Source organism: Homo sapiens, chromosome 18, assembly GCF_000001405.40.
Source record: "Homo sapiens chromosome 18, GRCh38.p14 Primary Assembly".
NCBI classification, from domain to species: Eukaryota; Metazoa; Chordata; class Mammalia; order Primates; family Hominidae; genus Homo; species Homo sapiens.
The window spans coordinates 70,284,299-70,306,650 of NC_000018.10; the positions used below are offsets into that span (position 1 = coordinate 70,284,299).

General features: G+C 43.0%; 1 protein-coding gene across 7 annotated transcripts in view, besides 2 other annotated features; it reads left to right on the forward strand.

Moving 5' to 3' along the window:
* Positions 4,583-5,482: a silencer, noted in NCBI's record as "silent region_9540". NCBI's record gives its function as "represses an Ori minimal core promoter by ATAC-STARR-seq in GM12878 lymphoblastoid cells {active_cell/tissue: GM12878}" and the evidence as "EXISTENCE:reporter gene assay evidence [ECO:0000049][PMID:35858748]".
* Positions 4,747-22,352, forward strand: part of SOCS6 (suppressor of cytokine signaling 6) — a 41,155-nt gene continuing 23,549 nt past the window's right edge. The window contains exon 1 of one of the 7 annotated variants that reach the window (XM_017026087.2): positions 4,747-4,994. The gene's annotated coding sequence lies outside the window, so the exon portion shown is untranslated. The other 6 variants (XM_047437940.1, NM_004232.4, XM_005266783.5 and 3 more) reach the window with 6 other exon arrangements.
* Positions 8,665-8,841: a silencer, noted in NCBI's record as "fragment chr18:67960199-67960375 (GRCh37/hg19 assembly coordinates)". NCBI's record gives its function as "represses an EF-1alpha promoter that drives an FKBP-Casp9 reporter gene in an ReSE screen in K562 erythroleukemia cells {active_cell/tissue: K562}" and the evidence as "EXISTENCE:reporter gene assay evidence [ECO:0000049][PMID:32094911]".

Here is a 22,352-nt window from a genome sequence, read left to right on the forward strand (position 1 = left end):
TTTATGGTTTCACAGTTCTGGATGTAGGAATTACAAAATCCAGGTGACACCAGGGCCATGCTGCCTCGGAAGGCTCTGATGAAATCCTTCCTTTCCTCTTCCCAGTTTCTGGTGTTGACAGCAATTCTTGGTGTTCCTTGACTTGCAGATGCATTGGTCTAGTCTCTGCCTCCCCAGAGTTCTCTCTATGTGTCTTTACCGCCTCTCCTCTCCTTGTGTGTCTGTCTCTGTGTCTCTTGTCCTCTTATAAAGACACCAATCACATTGGATTTAAGGGCCCACTCTATCCCAGCAGGACCTCATTTCAACTTAACAGTGGCAAAGATCCCACTTCCAACAAAGTCACATTCTAAGGTTCTGGAAAGGACACGCTTCTTTGGAGGACATTATGTAACCCAGGACAAGTACCATGCAAGGGAAATTTGTGTGTGTGGAGTATGGCGCCTAAACCATCAAGACAGGAAGGCAGGAACAGCAGAACGGCAATGGGAGGGAGGGAAGGAAGTGGAGGGTGGTAAATTTTGCTTGCTTTGCAGCTTTTCACAGGGCCCCGAGAGTGCTTTTAGCACTAAGGATGTACAGTCACGCACCGAATAATGGTTTGGTCAATGGCATACATGACTGTGATCCCATTGTAAGATTATAATGCTGTATCTTTACTGAACCTTTTCTATGTTTAAATATGTTTAGATACACAAATACCATTGGGTTACCATTTGCTTACATAATTCAGTACAGTAGCATGCAGTACAGGTCTGTAGCCTAGAAGCAACAGGCTATACCCTATTATTCTAGGTGTGTAGTAGGCTACCTCTAGGTTTGTGTAAATACAGTCTATCATGTTAGCACAAGGACGAAATCACCTAGTAATGCTTGTCTCAGAACATAGCACTTTCGTTAAGTGAGGTATGACTGTACTTGAATCACCAGGACTAGGATGGAAGGCTGCACACTGTAACCCACCCAGCTTCCACCCAGTTTTCTCAAGTCTAGACTTCTCTTTTTCCCCTTTTAGATGAAGGGAAGAGGTTTAATATTAGAAATCAAACAAGACTCAAAATTGGGAAATGTCAAAACTTTGTCACTTTGGGCAAATCATTTGATCTCTCAGTCTGTTTCCTCCTCCTTAAAATGAGGATGTTGGACTGTTTTCATGTCTGTAAAAAGAGGATGTTGAGGATGATCATTAAGGGTGCTTCTGGCTCTATAAGCTATTGCTCTAGGAGGAAGCAGTGGAACTGTGCTCCCCTGTCACTGTTAAGAGGATAGATTTTCAATATGACCAGTGGCTATCCCCATTTTTTAACAAGCATATCTATCAGACAGCATTTGTAACGGTAAACAACAGAAATTGGTTATCTTGAGCAAAACAGGGATTTATTAGAAGGCTTTGGGGACTGGCACCAGGATCAATTTGGTGCAGGTACCTTATTACAGTAGATGTGATCCCATCCTCTTCCAGGAGCTTTCCATGATTATATCACTTGCACAACAGTAAGCATCTGGACAAGAGTTTCTTTTCTTTTCTTTTCTTTTCTTTCTTTTCTGGTTTCTTTTCCTTTCTTGCTTGCTTGCTTGCTTGTTTATTGAGATAGAGTTTCGCACTGTTGCTCAGAATGGAGTGCAGTAGCATGATAGTGGCTCACTGCAACCTCTGCCTCCTGGGCTCAAGCAATCCTCCAGCCTCAGCCTCCTGAACAGCTGGAACTATAGGCATGCGCCATCACGCCCAGCTAATTGTTGTATTTTTAGTAGAGACAGGGTTTTGCCACGTTGCCCAGGCTGGTCTCAAATTCCCTGGCTCAAGTAATCCACTGGCTTTGGCCTCCCAAAGTGCTGGGATTACAGGTGTGAGCCACTGCGCCCAGCCTGGTTCTTTTTGTAGACAGAGTCTTGCTCTATTGCCCAGGCTGGAGTGTAGTGGCATGTTCATAGCTCACTGCAACCTGGAACTCTTGGGCTTAAGTGATCCTCCCACCTCCATGCCACTACGCCCTGCTAATATTTTAATTTTTTGTAGAGATGACATCTGGCCATGTTGCCCAGGCTGGTCTCGAATCGCTGGCCTCAAGTGAACCTCCCGCCTTGGCCTCCCAAAGTGCTGGGATTACAGGTGTAAGCCTCCCTGTCTGGCCTAGGCAAGAGTTTAAGTAGGTGAGTCATGGGCACATATCTTAGCTGTGCTGGGTGTTGTTAGGGCAAAGATAAGATTTCCTCCAAACGGAGAGTGAGTGCTGATGGAAAAAAGGGTTCATTGGCAGACAGCCAAGAAGATATCACATGTTTATGGCCAAGAAGTGTTTGGAATTCAGCCATGCATGGAGATTTTAATAGTATATCTAGACACTAATATCTCTACCCTGAAGTTGTTGCTATGTTATTGTTATCACTATGTAGTGGTAAAGGGCTCATATTCTGAAATCACAGAGGCCTAAGCCTGAATTCCAACTCTGCCCCACAGTAGCTGTGACTTTGGGAGAGTAAATTACTACTATCACACTGCAAGTCTCAGTTTCCTCATCAGAAATATGGCGGTGATGTTAATACTGACCTTATAGGATTGATATGAAAATTGAAGGATATGACATATTCAAAAGAGCTGAATGCAAGGCCGGACTCATGAAGTTTTATTACCTAGATTAGGCCCCTAGGGGTTTTTGTGCATTATTTCATGTAATCTTACAACTATTTGACATAATTAATATCGAGCCCCCTCACTCACCCTTTACAAAAGTAGAAACTGAGGTTCCAACTGAGAAACTTGTTTGAGGTCACACAGCTGTATGACCTGTCAAAACTGTGCTTCTGCACCAGCTCTGCCAGACTCAGAACCCCAGGGTCTTAACCATACATTTAAGTGTCTCCTAAAAGAGTCAACACTTCCCCATCCTGCACAGCCCCATTGCTGCGTGAAAGGCTCACTAACCCCCTGCTGCACAGCTCCTACTGGTTGTCATTTTAGAAAATATAGGGAGACACTGGAACTCCGAGGCAGTAGGATTGAAACGTTTGCTTCTTTTCTTTTTTTTTTTTTTGAGACGGCATCTAGCTCTGTCACCCAGGCTGGAGTGCAGTGGTGCGATCTCGGCTTACTGCAACCTCCGCCTCCCGGGTTCAAACGATTCTCCTGCCTCAGCCTCCTGAGTAGCTGGGATTACAGGCAGCTGCCACCACGCCCAGCTACTTTTTGTATTTTTAGTAGAGATGGGGTTTCACTGTGTTGGCCAGGCAGGTCTCGATCTCCTGATCTTGTGATCCGCCCGCCTCGGCCTCCCAAAGTGCTGGGATTACAGGCATGAGCCACCGTTAATTACTGTTTGTTGTGTTTCCCACTAACTTCTCTGACAATTCTATTTCAACCTACATTCTCCAATCACTGTAATTAGATATTTGAGAATTGTGTTGCATTTCAATCACGGTAACAATAATGGTAGTATTTTATTAATAAATTCAAGTAAAAACTGAAGATGACAATGATAGTGTATGATACATGACATCAACTTTGCATCACCTAAAGATCCAACTTTTCTGTTATGAATCTAGATTTCTTGGGGAAATCCAGATTGTATATTGGACATAGGAATTAAGATTACTGGACTTGAACTTTTTTGTAACTAACAACTTTATTGAGATATAATTCGGGTACCAACTCATACCTGAACAGCTTTTTAGACTTTTTTTCTAGCCCTTTTTTCTCTGTCCTTTCGGTTTTCTTTTAAAAAGGTCCATACTATTCAAGAAACACAACTTTTAAAGTCCACAATAATTCTCATTAGATTTTAATATTTATCTCCCCCCAAGCTTTACTGAAATACTAATGATATTCATTTTTTTAACCACTTTTCATCGTAAGAGAAATACAAATTTTCCTATTGATTCTTATGCACAAAAATCAAGTTTTTGTGGTACTGCTATACATTAGTAGTATGTTCAGCCAGTTTCCAAAGAAATTAGTCAAGATCCCAACATGCAACTTGTATACCACACTACCTTGGAATTCGGCGGCACAAACAACTATTCCTTGTACAAAACCTCCCTGAAAACGACTAAATGGAAAAGTGGATGGCTTGAAACAAGGAATGTTTGGTTTTTTAAAAAGCATTTTTCACAATTTAGTCGAGGTGTGGGGAGGGTTTCCCCACTTGTGGCTCTGCACAGCGTGCGCGCGCGTCTGTCCTGGGGTCCCCTCCCTGCGGGGACGAGGCCGGGGTCCCCGCGCGAGCCCAGCGGACCTGGGCAGTGCGGGGGTCCGACCGCCCGCCACAGGGGGACAGGGACCGCAGCCGCCAAATCCGCGGGGCCGGGGAACGAGGAGACTTTCCTTTCCGCGTTAGCCGGGGCCACCCCCGCCAGAGGGAAAGCACCAAAGGAAAAACCAGGACAGGGACTCTGGGGGCCGGAGGAGCGGCCTCCTGCAGGCACCAGCGGAGGGGCGCGGGGGTGGGGGAAGGGATCAGGGCTCCGCGCTCCGTCCGCCCCACGACCCCGGCCCGGCGCCCCTCCCCTCGGAACCCCCACTTAGTGCCCGGCCCCCGCCCCGCCCCGCGCGGCCCCCGGCCTCAGCCCCGCGCGCCCCGACGCCCCGCCTGCGCCGCGGGCCCGAGTAGTGGACGGGGGGCGGCCCGCTCGGCTCCTCCGCACCCGCTCCCCGCTCGGGCCGAGGCGCCGCGGCCGCGCGCCCCTCCTGGAGGAGGAGGAGGAAGGAGGCGGGAGGAGGAGTTGCCGAGAGGAGAAGGCGAGCGCGGCAGTCGCGCCGGCGCTGGGCGAGGAAGCGGAGCCGGGCCGCCTCCGGGTAAGCGTCCGGGGAGCTCGGGCGGGAGGCAGGGGCAGGGCTTCGCCGTCCGCCTCCGGGTCGCCCGCGGTCCGGGACACGGCTGGTTTTCGCCTCGGAGTGCAGGGGGCGGATCCGGCGCGGGCCGGGCCAGGGAGGCCGCCGGGCGCGGGGCTGCAGCGACGGGTCTGGGTCAGCGCGAGGCCCTGCGCCGTCTCGGCGGGTGCGCGGGCGGGGGCCAGGGCCGGGGAACGGGGGCCGGGGCCAGTCCCGGGAGCGGGGACGCGGAAACCGGGAAGCCGGGGCCGGGGCGCGGCGGCCCCTGAAGGGCCGAGGCCTGCGCGGCCGCGGACGGCTCTTCTCGACCCCTCGGCCTCTTCGGCCGCGGCGCGCCGGCCTGGGCCGCCGCCTTTGTTGCCCGCAGCTCGCCGGGGAGAGGCCGGGGCTCCGCGAGGCCTGGGCAGCGGCGCGGGGCCTGCGCGGCTCTGCGCCCCGGCCGGGTCCCTCCTCGGACCTCCGCGGGCTCGGGCTCGGGCTCGGGGTCGGGGCGCGGCGAGGCCGCAGGCGCGAGGGCGGGCCTGGGGCGCGGCGCTGGGACTCGGGGACGCCCCCGCCCCACCGCGAGGTCGCGCCGGCGCTGGTGGAGGTGCAGGCCGGGGCTGCTCTGCGGCTGAAGGTGCCGCCGGCCGGCTGCGCACTCACCCGGGTGTAGGGACCGGACGATTGTGGAATTTAAACCGCTCCTGGGACCGACACGGGCCTGAATTTTCAGTTTGCTTCGGGAGTTGGCAACTTCAGGTACACCCTTGTGGCTCACGGAGCAGAATTATGGACGTTTCTCAGGGGCAGATCCTGGCACAAAACTTGGGATATGTGCAGTAGTGTGTGTGCCAACTTAACGTTCAGTTGGAATGTGAAATTGGGGTTCCCATCCCCACTGTTTGGAATGAAGGGCCAGGTGGGAATATGTGGCGGGACTCAGTCTTCCGGTAGCAAAATAAATAATGTTGAATTCATTTCAACAAATGTTTCTGCAACGTCTGCCCGGATAAGGCAGCATGCACTGTGCATGAGGACAGAGAACACAGTAATGACAGAAATAACGTGAATTACACACTGAACGTCTCCCAGAGACATTTTAAATTTACTGTGTTCCTTGGGATAAAGATACATTTGGAATCAAACAAAAGTAAACGTTCTACTTCAAGATAAAATATCTGACATCTTCTCAACCACTGAAGGTAGCAATTTATCTTGACTTGTTTTTAACCAACTACCACAACATTAAATCCATTTAGCTTACTTGAATGAACGAATCTTAATTGTAATATTTAATGCTGTGGACAGCCTTACTTAAAAACACGAATGGCATTGCTCACCAGGTTTCACAAAAACCGGAAAAAAAGTCTGTAATACTTTTCCGTGGGCTTTCTAATTTCTCCTCCTAGTGGGTTTTGTGCACGCGTGGATATGGTAAGGTCTAGGATCCATTCAGCTCTAAATTAAATATGTGGCCTTAACCCTTTGGTTCAAACACCCTCCCTAAGCCTGCCTTGGTGCCTTGGAGGAACCTGGTTCGTGGACAGTGGATTTGATAAGGATTCCTAGAAGAACTTCTATCTGGAGTTTGGCCAGGGCTTTCCGCTTGTGCCTGGGTAAGGGTCAGCCAGGTATTCACCCGAATCTATACTTTTTTAGAACTCCATTCAGCATCTCTTTTGAAACACTGTTTCTCTCTTACCTTTATCGTTATCTTCTAAATTACCCTCTAAATTGGTAGTCTTGCCCCTTTCTCTTCAGCAGGGCCTCCCACCCAAGCGCACACCCTCGGGTCATCCCATGACCCCCTCTCTTGGTGGGCCCCCCACCCCGCAGGGAGTGGCAGGGAAGGAATTTGAGAGCCATTGACTGGGCGTAGGGTGGAAAATGGTGCTGTACTGACTGGGTTTCTAGTCATTTTGCCTTCCAGTGTTTTTCTTCATTCTTGCATTAGAACTGGAAAAGGTGTTCTTTTAATGGCCCCCCTTTTTTTAGGAAACAGAAAGCAAGTATCTTCTTTTTTGTTTTTCCTCTGTCACCCAGGGTGGAGTGCAGTGGTGCAATCATGGCTCACTGCAGCCTTGAACTCCTGGGCTCAAGTGATCCACCTCCCTCAGCCTCCTGAGTAGCTTGGACCACAGACATGTGCCACCACACCTGGCTGATTGTTTTTTGGAGAGGTGGGGTCTTGCTGTGTTGCCGAGGCTGGTCTCAAACTCTAGGCCTCAAGATCCTCTCACCTCAGCCTCCCAAAGCCCTGGGATTACAGGCACGAACCACCACACCCAGCCTGCAAGTGTCCTCTTAAGCCTTCTTGTGTAACTACACTCCTTAGAGAAAAATCTTGCTAGTTTTCTCCATTATGGCCAGTTTTCAGGAAACTTTTGGGTTATTGATCATATCTTTTATTTTGCTCATAGAGGTGTGATCTTATTTAAAAGTCCAAACATATAGATGGTCCCCAATTTTGGACTTTTTGACTTTTTGATGGAGCAAAAACGATACACATTTAGTATGCACTTCGACTTACATCCAGATAAACCCACTGTGAGTTTTGACTTTAAGATATTTTCAATTTATCATGGGCTTATTGGGACTCAATTATTGTTATTCTCTTAAAAATATGCACTCGTGACCTCTTCCAATTCTGGAAATTATATTTACATCTGTGGTGCCGAAGTACTTTTGTAAAATTATTCATTTTACAAGGGAGAAATTCCAAATACTAGTATATGTCATAAAAAGGAGAAACTTTCTTATATGGCTAGATTGATAGAAATAATTGTTCAGCTGTTAAAAGAGGAACAACGTAAGATGTGTTTGATATTGTTTTGAAGTGAAATTGTCATTAATGTTTTTATGGGTAATTTATTATGCTGTTTGGCGTGTTGGTTTAGCTAATAAGTCGTGATGGCTTTAGGGCTGAGGACACAGTTTACTTAAACTGATTTCAGGTCTTTACCCACCCATACAAACCTTACATTTTACTTCGTTGGGGCAGTTGTTTTTAGGTGGCCGTTGGTCTTGATGTTTCGAGAACAGACATACTTAGATAAAGTCACGTAAGATTTCAGTTCTCACCTTGCACACTCTGGACATGTTGGGGCATCCATTTACCCGCTCTGTCACGTTGAACACGTTCTGTATGCCCTCTGAGTCTTATCTGGGGCTAAAGTGGGGACAATAATTTATCTCACAGTTATAATGAATATGTATTTATGGTAACATCCAAACTCTTGTTTTGTTTTGAAATGGGGATCTCGCTCTGGTTGCCCAGGCTGGAGTGCAGTGGCACGGTTAGGACTCACTGCAGCCTCGACCTCCCAGGCTCAAGCGATCTTCTTGCCTCAGCACCCCCTCCGCCAGTTGTTGGGACCACAAGTGCATGCCACCATGCCCAGCTGATTTTTTTTAATTTTTGGTAGAGATGGGGTTTCCTTATGTTGCCCAGTTGGTCTTGAAATCACGGGCTCAAGTGATCCTCCCACCTTTGCCTCCCAAAGTGTTGGGATTGCAGGCACGAGCCACTGTGCCCAGCCAAAAATCCAAACTCTTCCTCATCGACTATAACATTTCTGCCTAGTTCTGAAATGTGTTTTCATTTCTCCCTAATTCTCATCTTGAGCAACCATCTCTGCCTTACCAGGGTTCTGCCCTAGCCTTTCCGTTCCTCAACAATCTAAGCTGCTTCCTGCTCCGCCACCTTTGACACAGTAGTTCTGTTTGCCTACAGTGCCTTCGGTGGCTCCTGTGGTTGGTTCATTCTCAGATCTTAATGCCAGTGGCACCACCTCAGAGCATCACCACCTCAGAGAAGACTTCCTTGACTACCTTATGGCTCCTTCAGTAATCCCAAGTAATTGACTTGTGTGGTTCCTTCATAACCTCTATTATTGTCTGTAATTACTTTGTTTACTTGTTTCTGCTGTTCCCCCGCCACCCCCCCCAAATAAGTTCTATGAGGGCAGAGTGTCTACTGTGGTCCTTCTTTTCTGTGTCCCTGACACATCCCAGGGGGCCTGGCCACTGAGTAGGAGGGGTGTGGGTATACAGAAAGTAGTTGCGGTTTTCATGTTGTTATCTACACCTTAAAGGCAGAGATGTGCTGTGTACATGTTAGAAAGTTGTTGGTATTTCATGTCGTTTGTCCTTTTCTGAGCTGGTCTGCTTGCCTGGCTGAGTAAATCATAGCACTAATAAAACCAAAGTCCTTATCATTACATGGCCCCAACAGCCCCACAGAGAGACAACTGTCACTGCCTGTAGAGCTATGATGTGTGTCTGAGTGACTCAAGTACCAGACTGACTGGCAGTGTAGACGCCCAGATCTCTTTCACTTCTGGAAGTATAGTCATGTATAGTGTATAGAAAGTCACCATCCCAAAACCCATTTCTCCTGCTTACATAGCTTAGTGAAGTGAAACCTCAGTTATCTGAAATCTCCTGGTATCCTCAGTTTTCTGGTGTAGAATTAAGCCAGAAGGAAAATCTCCTTTGGAATTAGAAAAGCCAGAGACTTAGAAGCCCTCCATGCTAACTAAGGAAGACAGTCTCTCATGGGGATGCAGATCTAGGTTTGAATTTCAGCACTTCAATTTTATAGGGTAGATTAAAACAAAAAAAAAAACTTAAGGTTTTGTTCCTTTACGTATATAATAATGATGATGTTTCTCTCAGAGCTGGTGTGATAATGGAATGAGATAGCCGGGCGCGGTGGCTCGCGCCTGTAATCCCACCACTTTGCGGGGCTGAGGCGGGTGGAGCAGGAGGTCAGGAGTTCGAGACCAGCCTGGCCAACATAGTGAAACCCCGTCTCTACTAAAAATACAAAAATTAGCTGGGCATGGTGGCACACACCTGTAGTCCCAGCTACTCGGGAGGCTGAGACAGGAGAATTGCTTGAACCTGGGAGGTGGAGGTTGTGGTGAGCCGAGATTGTGCCACTGCACTCCAGCCTGGGCAACAGAGCGAGACTCCGTTTAAAAAAAAAAAAAAAGAAAGAAAATGGAATGAGATAATGCATGTTAGTGTATTAAGTGCCTGAAATATAACAAGTGCTAATACTTTAACACTAGTATTCTACTCCTTTATCTGACTGCTTTTGACTAGTTAGATTATGTTTTAAAGTAATAGTAATAATTCCTATTTAAAGTAATTATTACTATTAATTCTTTTCTGTGTCCCTGACACATCCCAGGGGGCCTGGCCACTGAGTAGGAGTCCGTTTTTCTTGTCAGTTTTTTTTGTTGTTGTTCTTTGGAGGGGAGTTCCCTCAATTTTTCTTTTATTGGATGTTTACTTTTTGGCTGTGGGAGTTTTGTTTTCTAACTGTTCTCCTCACCCCCTCTTTTATAATATATAATAATGGTAATAATTCCTATTTAAAGTAATTATTACTATTAATTTAAAACATAATCTGACTAGTCAAAAGTAGTATTCTGATTAATCAGCCACACCTGTGTTAGACTTGAATGTTTTTGTTAAGGAAGCCTAATGTGGGAAAAGTGTTTGAGACCAAAAGAGCAAGAGAAATGGAAATGAAAGCAGTAAGTGAATGGGCGCCTTCAGAAGGATTGCTAGTGCAAGCTGCTAGACTGGTAAGGATTACAGGTGGTCACAGTGTTAGCAGCAATTGCCTGACCTGGCTGTGGGGTCATTGCAGTTCATTGGTGGGAGACCGAGAACAAAAAAGATGCCGCACTTGCCTTCTCTGCAGAGCCTTCTGCTCTGATTATGTTTGTTCTGATACTGTTTTATCACTCCTAACAGCGAACACACTAAAATACTTTCTAAAATTGTTAAAAGGGCATCACACTTGGAGACTGGGGAGTGATGATTATCTTATTTTCCATAGCATCGGACTCTTGAGTATAGAGAAGAAAAGAAAGAAGACAGGATATATCTGAAGGCCTGGAAGGCAGGCAGTAATCTGAACATCAGTAAGTCCTAATGGTGTCATTATGCCATCCTGAAATTTTCCAGCAGATAAATTTGGTCATCTGGAGAGGCATCCATTTATATACAGCAGTTTGTGACAGTCTGAGATTATACTTAATATACACACTTGTGCTTAAAATACCTTTTTGAAGACAGGAATGTATGGCTCCTATTAGATAAGATTTCCATCAAAAACAATTTCAATAGTTCAGTGTTAATCTTTAGACAAGGTATTTTTACCCAGCGCTCTGGGTAGCTGATTATTTGGTGCTGTTTATGGTGGCACTTACAGTGATTTTTGTGGTACACATTGTTCTGACCATATCAATAATATGCTAGATGGTTGAAGCAGCTGGGTTAGCATGCTTTGAAAGTCAGATGAATTCTTACTGGTAGATTTTTACTGTATCTGTATGTTACTTGTTTAAAGTTTGTTGTGATGTGTATAATAATGGTGTTTGTTTTTAAAGCTTAATTTTGGTTTTCAGTAATGTATTACCATCCCTCAGACAATAGTCATTTTTGTTTGTTGACATTGCTTTTAAAGTTAAAAAAGAAAAGTGACATATTTAGGAAATAACATTATTGCCAAATATCACAGACTGGCAGAAAATGTAAGCAAATACCAGTGCAGAGAATTTCAGTAGGATTTTAGTGATTTTATATATTTGCAGCAGAATTACTGCATTTTAGAGCTAGAAGGAACTGCTCTGATTATAGATTATCTTCGTCCTTGCACAGATGAGGAAATTGGGTCTAAGCAGGGTGTCATCTGCCCAGAGTCACACACCACATTAGTAGTCGATTTCAGAGTGGACTCTGGTGTATGCAGCCCTTCTTGCTGTTGATGCTTAAGGTTTTAATTTAATCCTGGGAACTGGGGAGTTTGGATTCGTGTCTTCCTGGAGGATGTTACAGTTGAGCTGGCTCTTGCAGGGTGACGTGTGTTTGATTGGAGAAAGATACAGAAGGCAGGAACAGTATCTAAAACAGGACGAATCACAGGAGCCTCTACCGTCAACTTAGAAATTCTTTTCTCCTTCCCAAGTGGGGTTCCTTGTTTTCAGTTCCTTAGTTTACCGCCTTGATATGATGAAGCTCATCCTCATAGTGACTTCCTGTGAAAGGTGATGGGGAAGATGACTTTTTTTTTGAGCCTTGTGTGTCAGAAAATGTCTATGTTCTAAGTATTTGGTGTATGCCTGGCTGTGTATAAAATTTCAGGTTAATATTTTAGTTCAGATCAAATAAGTTATTTGGCAGTGACAAATTAACTCTGAAATCTCAGTGCATGAATAGAGGTCTGTGTCTTGCTTTCACAAAGTCTGCTGTGGACGCCGCCTCCCTTGGCCTCTTCCTTTGGGTCCAATCTGCTTTCACCTACAGTTCCTGTCTGTTGTCCCCATGGCGGATGTGGGTGTATCTGCAGGTCGCACGCTGGTCACCATAGGCCAGAACCAGGCCTAGTCCCTGCAAGAATTCCAGACGCATGCAAGGGCACAAGGAGAGTCATTGAACTGTCAGTGGGGGTCATAGTTGTAAGTGTGTTTCCTCTTGGAATATTGCAGGCATTGCTCCGTTGTCGTCCGGTTTTCAGTGTTACTGTTAAGTCACATGCCGCCAGTTTCCCAGGCAGTTGTAAGCCATTTCTTTTCCCCCTGGAAGCTTTTGGGGGACTTTTGTGTTATTGCCTAAATACTAACATTTTACCATGGTGGGTCTGGTGATTGTTCTTTTCTACTTTGGATGTGCTGAGCATTCCACAGAGCTTTTCAGTCTATAAACTTATGTTTTTCAGTTCTAGAAAAACTATTAAAATGACTTTTATAATTTCTTCCCTTTCATTTTCTCATTTTCTTTCTTTTTTTTTTTTCTGTCTTAAGCTCTTCTTCATTGGACATAGGAACTCCTAAATCCGTCTACTTATTTTCTTAGCTTTTTTCTCCATTTTTCTTGTCTGTTGTTGTTGTTGTTGTTGTTGTTCTTTGGAGGGGAGTTCCCTCAATTTTTCTTTTATTGAATGTTTACTTTTTGGCTGTGGGAGTTTTGTTTTCTAACTGTTCTCCTCACCCCCTCTTTTTTAAACAAATAGCATCCGCCTCTCAGTTCAGATTTGTGAAACCTTTTCTCAGGCTGGTTTTTCGTCGTCTTCCTTTCCAGCAGTCTTAGATTTTGGTTTACTCCAGTTTGTTTTAGCCACTTAACACTGTTGTCATCTGCCGTAATTCGCTTTGTGATTTTCTTCGTTCCTGTGTTTTTGGGGAATGATGGAGATAAAGAAGTGTATGTTTAATCAGGAGGGTTTTTTTTTCCCTTCTTTTCAACAGTTTTTGTTTGTTTTGCTAGCATCAGTGAATATTAAACCCTTCGTTTTTGGGAAAACCAGATCTATTTTTTTCTTTAAATAAAAGTAGTGTTTTCAGTTAGTGCTCTCATGAAGCCACATCTGTGTCACTGAGTTCAATTAACTTAGTCGATGAAATGCCTGCTGATCTGTAGTGGGTGGTAACATAATTATTTTAATTTGGACTATTTTAAAAGCATCAAGAGATCGCATCTTTGGGAACCCACAATAAATGGTTACTTTTGGCAATCAGATTATTGTTTTATAATACAAGTAATCTTTTCATTTTGTAAGATTTTTATATTGTTTGCTTAATAGGGATATATTATTAAATTGAATAATTATTGCTTTCCAAGATTCCCTTCAGCGCTAATGATCAATGAATGAAGTTTATGTTGGCTCTTAATGTACATTTAATAACAAATTTCATGTGGATTACTTTTTGTTCCCCAAATCTGCTATTTAAAACTCCATTCTTCATTTGGATGTACTTTAGAAATGGGGAAAAGATTATTTTAACTGAAAACTCAAATTCTCTACTGCAAATTGAATGACAAAATCTTGTATGTTCTATGTGAAAGCATTTGAATAATGGGCAAATTGCTCTTTAAATTAGAGCTTTTGTGTTGATCTGAAGGCTCTGAGAGCAGTCATAACAGTTGTGTTATTTTTCAGTTAGTTTTACATGCATGTTGCCTTTCACAAGTTAGATATTTTTGCTTTAGTAGTTCATTACATTTAAGATATTTTAATATATAAACAAATTACTTTTAATCTTAAAGCAATGAAGAAACTATTAAAACACTTTGCTACAGTACAGAATAAAAACAAAACATCTTTGTTCATAATTTGTCAAATTCTGAAAGAATCTTACCTACTTGGTAGTTTATAATTCATGAGGTCATTCTTTTTCATAGACAATTAATGTGGTGAGATTTTTAGGGAATTTGCTATATTTTTAGTTAAAATAATTTTGTTTACATTAAAATGTTAAATAATTGTTTTTTAATTTGTCATTGTCAGCTATAATCATATATAGGTGAATGGTATTAAAAGAACTATATATAAGATAGTATTTTACATTTATCATTCTGGAGGTCAGGATGTATTATATATATATCAGAAAGTATTACAATAGCTGTTTCTAAGCCACCAACTGTAATTATACCTTAGCCAATAAGGTTGCAGATGTGGACATCATTAAGGATCTTACTAGTAGTAAGTTGGGGTGCTGTCTTTTCAGTGTGCAAATGATTTCCATTATCAATGTTGCCCAGGTCTCCACTGATTTAGAGTTAAGATACCTATATTAATTTGTTGAAAAGTGTCATAGTTATTTCATAGGAGTCTCAGGCCTGATACACACAGTGGTAAAGATAAAAGGCTGATTTATTTCTTGTGATGTGTTTCCAACACCAACAACCACTTCTTCAGTGTGAAAACTGAGTGTCCAGGCTGGGTGCGGTGGCTCACACCTGTAATCCCAACACTTTGGGAGGCCGAGGTGGGCGGATCACTTGAGGTCAGGAGTTCGAGACCAGCCTGACCAACGTGGCAAAACCCCGTGTCTACTAAAAATACAAAAATTAGCCAGGCACGGTGGCACATGCTGTAATCCCAGCTACTTGGGAGGCTGGAAGGAGAATCGCTTGAACCCGGGAGGTGGAGCTTACAGCGAGCCAAGATCATGCCATTGCACTCCAGCCTGGGCAACAAGAGCGACCCTCCGTCTTAAAAACAAAAAAAGAAAACTGAGTCCAACATTTCAGTTAATTCAGACCCTACCCAGAGTAAGTACAGTCCCCACAGGCAACGGGCTGAGTCCCATGAGACTGCCCCGTCCTCAGATGCCAGTCACAAGTCCCAGGCCTCTCATACTTCTGACCGACTGGCTACAAATCAGGGGTTCCCACTACCTCCTCAGATTAGATAATTTGCTGGATAAAACTCAGGAAAACATTATTATTAAGGGCACAACTCAGCAACAGCCCAGTAGAAGAGGTGCACGGAGCAAGCACGGGGGGACGTGGAGTTTCTGTGCCCTCCTAGGGTGGCCTCCTGCCCAGCTCACCCTTGTGTGTGCAAGGTCCCCGAATCTTGTAGTTAGAGTTTCTGTAGAACTCAATCTCTAATCCTTTCCTTTTCTCTTCATTTCTCTTCAGGATAGGGACGGGGGGTCGGTGCTGAAAGTTCCACACTCTAGGCACTGGGTCTCTGGGTGACCAGCCCCATCCAGAGGCCATCTAGGAGGGCCGCTTTTAATCACAGCGTTAGCATTAACAGTTGTGATTGAAAGGGGCTTGTTTTGAACAATAAAAAATATTTCTATCTCAGGAAATCCCAAAGATATAGGAACTGTGCCAGGAACTAGAGACAAAGATGAAATATGTCTTATATCACATTTCTTTGAATTGGTTAAGTGCAAATAAGACAACAAAAAATAATATAACCATTTATATAACACTTGTGTTAGGTGTTATAAATAATCTAGAGATGATTTAAAGTATGGGGAGGATGTACATAGGTTATATGCAAATACTATGACGTTTTATATAAGGGACTTGAGCATTCATAGCTTCTGTTATTCCTGGAGCCAATCCCCCATGAATACCGAGGGATGACCGTATACGTATAAAGACAGTGATGAATTGGCATATATATTTACTACTTCTTAAATGCAACTTGTTAAAATCTGAACTAAAAAATTAAGGAGAGGTGTGCAGTCATTTAATCAATTCTTTATTTTTTTTTTTCCTTAAGACTTAGTCTCTCTCTCGCCCAAGCTGGAGTGCAGTGGCATGATCTTGACTCACTGCAACCTCTGTCTCCTGGGTTCAGGTGATTCTCCTGCCTCAGACTCCCAAGTAGCTGGGATTACAGGCACCCACCACCACACCTGGTTAGTTTTTGTATTTTTTTAGTAGAGACAAAGTTTCACCACGTGGGCCAGGCTAGTCTCGAACACCTGACCTCAAGTGATCTGCCAGCCTCAGCCTCCCAAAGTGCTGGGATTACAGGTGTGAGCCACCGCGCCCAGCCTCATTAATCAATTCTTATAAGCCAACACAAAAAGCATTTTTACATGATTGACGTTATGAATATTTGTTTCATATTCAGTTTAATAATTGAATAAGAATGCATTGAATACAATTACAGTGAAGGATGCTTAGAAATGCTCATGGGAAAGTTGTTCATTGCTGGTTAGATATCTAAGTCCGTACATATTTTTATTTTCATTGAGTCAGAAGCTTTTAGAACTGGACATGATTTAGAGATTATCATGTATTTTATATGGAGATTCACTTAGTATCCCCCTGCAAATTTAAGCTAGTGCTACCCCATACTTTTGTGTCAATAGCCTATAAAGTAGGAGTGAATCACTTGAAAATTTATTAGAACTTTTGTTGTAAATATAAATTTATTCTTAATTTAAGTTAAAATTATTTGTCAACTTTAAGTTCATTTTTCTCAATTTGGCTATATTTAACTTTTTTAAATCTACCTTTGTAGCCATGCAGTGTTCCTGTTGCATTTCAATTAGAGGTTATTGTGGTAAGAGCTAAGGGCCCTGAAAGAAGTCAAAGCAACTGTATTCCATTTATTATGCAAATGTAATTCTGTTTTTATGTAGTTGTAAATATTTATTATGTTTGAATGCAGTTGCCGAGAAGTGTGAAATGTCTGAGATTTTTGCCTTCAACACAAGCTCAAAGGCAGGCTCACCAGTTAGCCAGCTACCAGTTGGATGCTGGCAGAAGACATAAGACTCTTGGGTTAGAGATAAAGGACCTTATTACAGTAGTAGCCACAGTGTCAGCATCTGTCCCAGTTTGCTGAGACATGTTGAGAATAGAATGGGGCAGGGGAAAGAAAGCAAGGAAACTTATTAGGAGGTATTGCCATAATGCAGGAGAAAGAGGATGGTAGCTTGGACTAGTATAGTGGCAAAAAGTAGTTGGATTCTGCATATGTTTTGGAGGTAGCTGAAATTGGGATTTCATGACATACTGGATGAGGAATGAGAGAAAGAAAGGAGCCAAGGGTGATTCTGAATGTTCTGATCTGATCATTGGAAGAATGTAGAGTAGCCGGAAATGGAAGTATAGAGAAGATTTAAACCTGCAAGTGGGGCTGGGGTGGGGGTGGGGTGGGGAACAACCCGAGTTTAGTTTTGAACTTGTGAAGTTTCAGATATCTGCAAGACATCAAAGTGGCAGTGTCCTGAAGGGAGCTGAATATAACTGGTCTGTAAATGAAGAGAGAGAATTTGGGAGTGTAGGGCACATCGATGCTATGCAGTGTCATGAGCATGAGTGAAATCACAGGTGGAGAAGAGGGGACCAAAGTCTTGAGTGCTGGGGCACTCCTGTTAAGACTCCAGAGGGAGACTAGCAAAGGAGTCAGACTGAGGGACCGTGAGAGTGTGGTGTGCTGAGCAAAGAGGTAAAATGATATGAAAGGAAAAGGAGTGGTCAGTGGTCACACACAGTGCCTCTAAGATTAGGACTGTGAATTCACGCTAGGCAAAGGCTGCTCTGTGCGATGATTGGTAGAGAAGGCTTTGGTGTGGGTGTCAGAGAAGATTGGAGAGGAATCGTGGGCATCAGTAGACTCAGTTCTCCTAAGGCATTTTGCTGCAAAGGGAATCAGAGAGATGGGGCTGCAGCTGGTGAGGAAGGTGGGGTCCCCACAAGTTTGTTTATATATGAGAAATAACATTTTCAGGAATGAGCCAGTGGAGTGGGGAAATTGTTGGGAGATTAAGTGTGCCAGCTGACGGTGGGGGCCCTTGAGCAAGGTAGCAGAATGGAGTAGATGGAAACATGGTGCTGAGTGGGTAGATGGGAGCCGAGTCCAAGGTCTTCTGATGTCGTTCCTTTTCTTGGTGAAATAGGAAGTTGGGCCATCTGCTGCGATATTAAATGAGGGAGTGTTCCAGGGGTAATGAGAGTGTTCCAGGGGTGGAGAAAAGAGAGGGAAGGTGTGAAATGGTAGGCCGGGAAGGAGAAGAATGGACCAGGGAAAAGTAGTTTGATTTCCAGACAGCATTAAGGACCCACCTGCGGGTCATGGCCTTGACTACAAAGTGAGACCCATCAGACCAGTTCTCTTTTTCTCCAGCCTTATTTAGCTCTATGGGTGCAGGCATGACATAAGCGGAGTTGAATTTACTAATATGGTTTTACCAAGAGAGTTTTTCAGGAGAGTAGTGGAAGGGAATAGAAGTATACACAAGGAAATGATTACAGTGATGAATTGTGGAATATAAGCTGAGTAGGAAGGGAAGAGGGTCTTGAAAAGCTGGTAGGCTTATCACTCTTGTCATTTAGACTTTGAATATTCAAAGCCGGTTCCTAACTGTATATATATATACACCAGTATAAAAAAAAAATTTAAGTCAGATTTGCAAAAAGTTATTTTGAGCAGGTAAAGAGGAGGAGGCTGTCTAGGTTCTACCAAAGCCAAAGAATAATAGTAAAAACAAAAAGCTACAAAAAAACCCAATAGTCTCATCTTTTGATTTATTTTTTGTTTGGCAGTCATGGTATAACTGAAAGCCAAGAAAAGGCCCTGCATTTTTAATGGATTTACTCAACCATTTCCTTTAAAAAAAAGTAAGAACAAACAAGCTCACAGGTTTTATTCTTATAAAAACACTGCATGTTCATTATAGGATGTTTTGAAAATAATGTTTACAAAAGTTCTGCCATCCAGTTAACAGTTCTGCTGTACTTTGTGGTCCAGTTTTCCTCCCTATTCTTTCTATGTAATTGAACCACATACATATAATTTTGTTTCCTGTGTTTTTGCACTTAACAAACGAACAATATGAATTTTCCCCTCATGTTATTTATAACTCTGTATAAATATCAATTTCACTGGTTCTCTAAAGTTCCATTGTGTAAATGTGCCAGGATTTTCTTTACTCATACTGTTGGAAATTAGGATGTTTCCAATTTTTTTAATTTAAATTTACTTTTTGTCATAAATAATGATCCAGGGAATATTTTTATGTTTTTTTCTTTAATATTTATAAAAACAGCATTATTGGGTCAAGGAGTATCGTTACTTTTCAGTTGCATATTGCCAAATTAATTTTTATGGCTGTATTAAGATCCTTCAGCTGGGTGCGGTGGCTCACACCTGTAATCCCAGCACTTTGGGAGGCTGAGTCAGGTGGATCATCTGAGGTCAGGAGTTTGACACCAGCCTGGCTAACGTGGTGAAACCCATGTCTATTAAAAATACAAAAATTAGCTGGGAGTGGTGGCATGTACTTGTATTTCCAGCTACAGGAGGCTGAGGCAGGAGAATCGCTTGAACCCGGGAAGCAGAGGTTGCTGTGAGCTGAGATTGCACTACTGCACTCCAGCCTGGGTGACAGACTGAGACTCTCAAAAAACTAATAATAATAAATTTTTTAAAAAAGACACTTTCAGGCAATCAATACAACCATTTAGAAAAATCTTTGCTGATTTGACTTTTGGAAAATCATAGTGTTAATAGTTTAATTTGTATATCTCTGATTCTTGTGAGGGTTAATATTTTTCCATAAATGTGTTGAGTGAATTGGTTGTATGTGTGGAAAAATGTAAATCTTTACCTACCTCACACATAAATCGTACTAGATTTAATCAAGGACTTAAATATGAAAACCAAAACTTCTTTACAGCAAATACAGGAGGATATATGATCTCAATGTCAGATGAATTTTTTTAAGACAATAGAAGGGGCAGATAGTAAAGGTAAACTGATAAATTTGACTAAAATAAAATGGAGAAACTTCTGATCCTCAGGTACTAGAAAAAGAATAAAAAGTCAAGATACAAGGTCAATGCAACAGTAAAGAAAAAGAAAAGACACAGGATGATCTGGATGAACTGATACAGAATGATTTCTAGGGGTCTGAAGTTTACCTGCCGTGTGATAAATTTTTTTGTTCTCTATATTTAGCCACACACTTCAATCATCGCTTTCCTGCAATCGGGGAAAAAAAAAACTTTGCTTAAAAGCCAACCCATCTTACATTCCCACCAGCAGTGTATAAGGTTTCTGGTTTCTCTGCATCCCTCCCTTTGTCATGATATTGTCATGATAGTGGTTGTGCAGTGGTATCTTTTTGTGGCTTTAATTTACATTTTGAATGACTAATACTATTAAGCACCTTTTCGTGTGCTTATTAGCCATTTGTGTGTTGTCTTTGGTCAAAGGTTTGTTCACATCTTTTGCTCATTTAAAAAATTAGGTTTTATTTATATCTTGGTATCATCTCTTGTCAGTTACGATACACAGATATTCTAGCCTGTGGCTTAGAAGATATGATACACAGATATTTTCTTCTAGCCTGTGGCTTATCTTTCTTTTAATGGTTTGTTTTGAAACACAAACACTTTTAAATTTTAGTTATTAAATTTTAATGATGTTTAACTTAGCAGAGTTTTTCTCTTATATATTGTGCTTTTGGTATTGTGTCCAGGAACTCTTTGTCCAAACTAGAGTCACAAAGTTTTTTTAAAGAAGTTTTATAGTTTCATGGCCGAGCGCGGTGGCTCACGCCTGTAATCCCAGCACTTTGGGATGCCGAGGTGGGCGGATCTGAAGGTCAGGAGTTCGAGACCAGTCTGGCCAACATGGTGAAACCCAGTCTCTACTAAGAAAATACAAAAATTTGCCGGGCATGGTGGCATGCACCTGTAATCCCAGCTATTGGGGAGGCCGACGCAGGAGAATTGTTTGAAGCCGGGAGGTGGGAGGTTGCAGTGAGCCGAGATCGCGCCACTGCACTCCAACCTGAGCAACAGAGCAAGACGCCGTCTCAAAAAGAAAAAAAAAAAAGTTTTATAGTTTTAGTTCATACATTTAGGTATATGACCCATTTTGACTTAATTCTTACCTATGGTGTGAAGTAAGGGTTTACATTTTTGTTTTTAGTTATTCATTTGTCCCAGCACCATTTGTCAAGAAGACTTTCCTCATTGACTCGTCTTGGGACGTTTCTTGAAAATCAGTCGACTATAAATGTAAGGATTTATTTCCAGACTCCTTTATTCTGTGATGTGTATGCCAGTCTCTGTGTCAGCAGCACACTGTCTTGATTCCTATAGTTTTATAAGCACTTTCGAAATTGGATAGTGTAACTTTGTTCTTTTTCAAAATTGCATTTCAATATAAATTTTAGGAATATTGTATCAATTAATATAAAAAAGAGCTTACTAAGCTTTTGATAGGGATTGTTTGAATCTATAGATCAATTTTGGAAGAATTGCCATATTAATAATATTGAATCTTCCAGTTCAAAAACATGGAATCTCTAATTATTTAGAATCTCTATATTCTCTTAGCAGTGTTTTGTAGTTTTGACTGTATGAATCTTGTACTACATGTGTTAAATTTATTCCTCAGTCATTTTATATTTTGTGAACAGAATTGTTTTCTTAATTCACTTTTGGTGTGCTAGTCGTTTTATTGTTGCTAGGTTTGTAGGCTTGTAGGGTGGGTGTGTGGGGGTGTGTGTGTGTGTTGTGTGAGTTCCTTGGGTTTTTCTACGTATAAGATTTTGTCAGCTGGCCAGGCGTGGGGGCTTATGCCTATAATCTCAGCACTTTGGGAGGCCAAGGCTGGAGGATCGCTTGAGCCTAGGAGTTTAAGACCAGCCTGGGAAACATAGGGAGACCCTGTCTCTATTAAAAGTTAGCTAAGTGTGGTGGCATGCATCTGTAGTCCAAGCTCCTTGGAAGGCTGAGGCAAGAAGATTGGTTGAGCTCAGGAGGTCGAGGCTGCAGTGAGCTGTGATCATGCCACTGCACCCCAGCCTGGTGACAGAGTGACATCCTGTCACAAAAAAGCAGCCGAAGTGGGTGGATCACGAGGTCAGGAGATCAAGACCATCCTGGCCAACATGGTGAAACCCTGTCTCTACTAAGAATACAAAAAATTAGCTGGGTGTGGTGGCGCACGCTACTGGGGAGGCTACTGGGGAGGCTACTGGGAGCTGAGGCAGGAGAATCTCTTGAACCTGGGAGGCGGAGATTGCAGTGAGCTGAGATCGTGCCATTGCACTCCAGCCTGGTGACAGAGACTCCATCTCAAAAAAAAAAAAAAAAAAAAAAGAAAGAAAGCCAAAAACTAAGATTGTGTCAATTATGAATAAAGATGGTTTTATTTCTTCCTTTCCAATTTGTATGCATTTTTTTTCTTGTTCCACTGGCTCAAACCTTCAGTACAGTGTTGAGTAGAGGGGGTGAGCGCAAATGTCCTTGT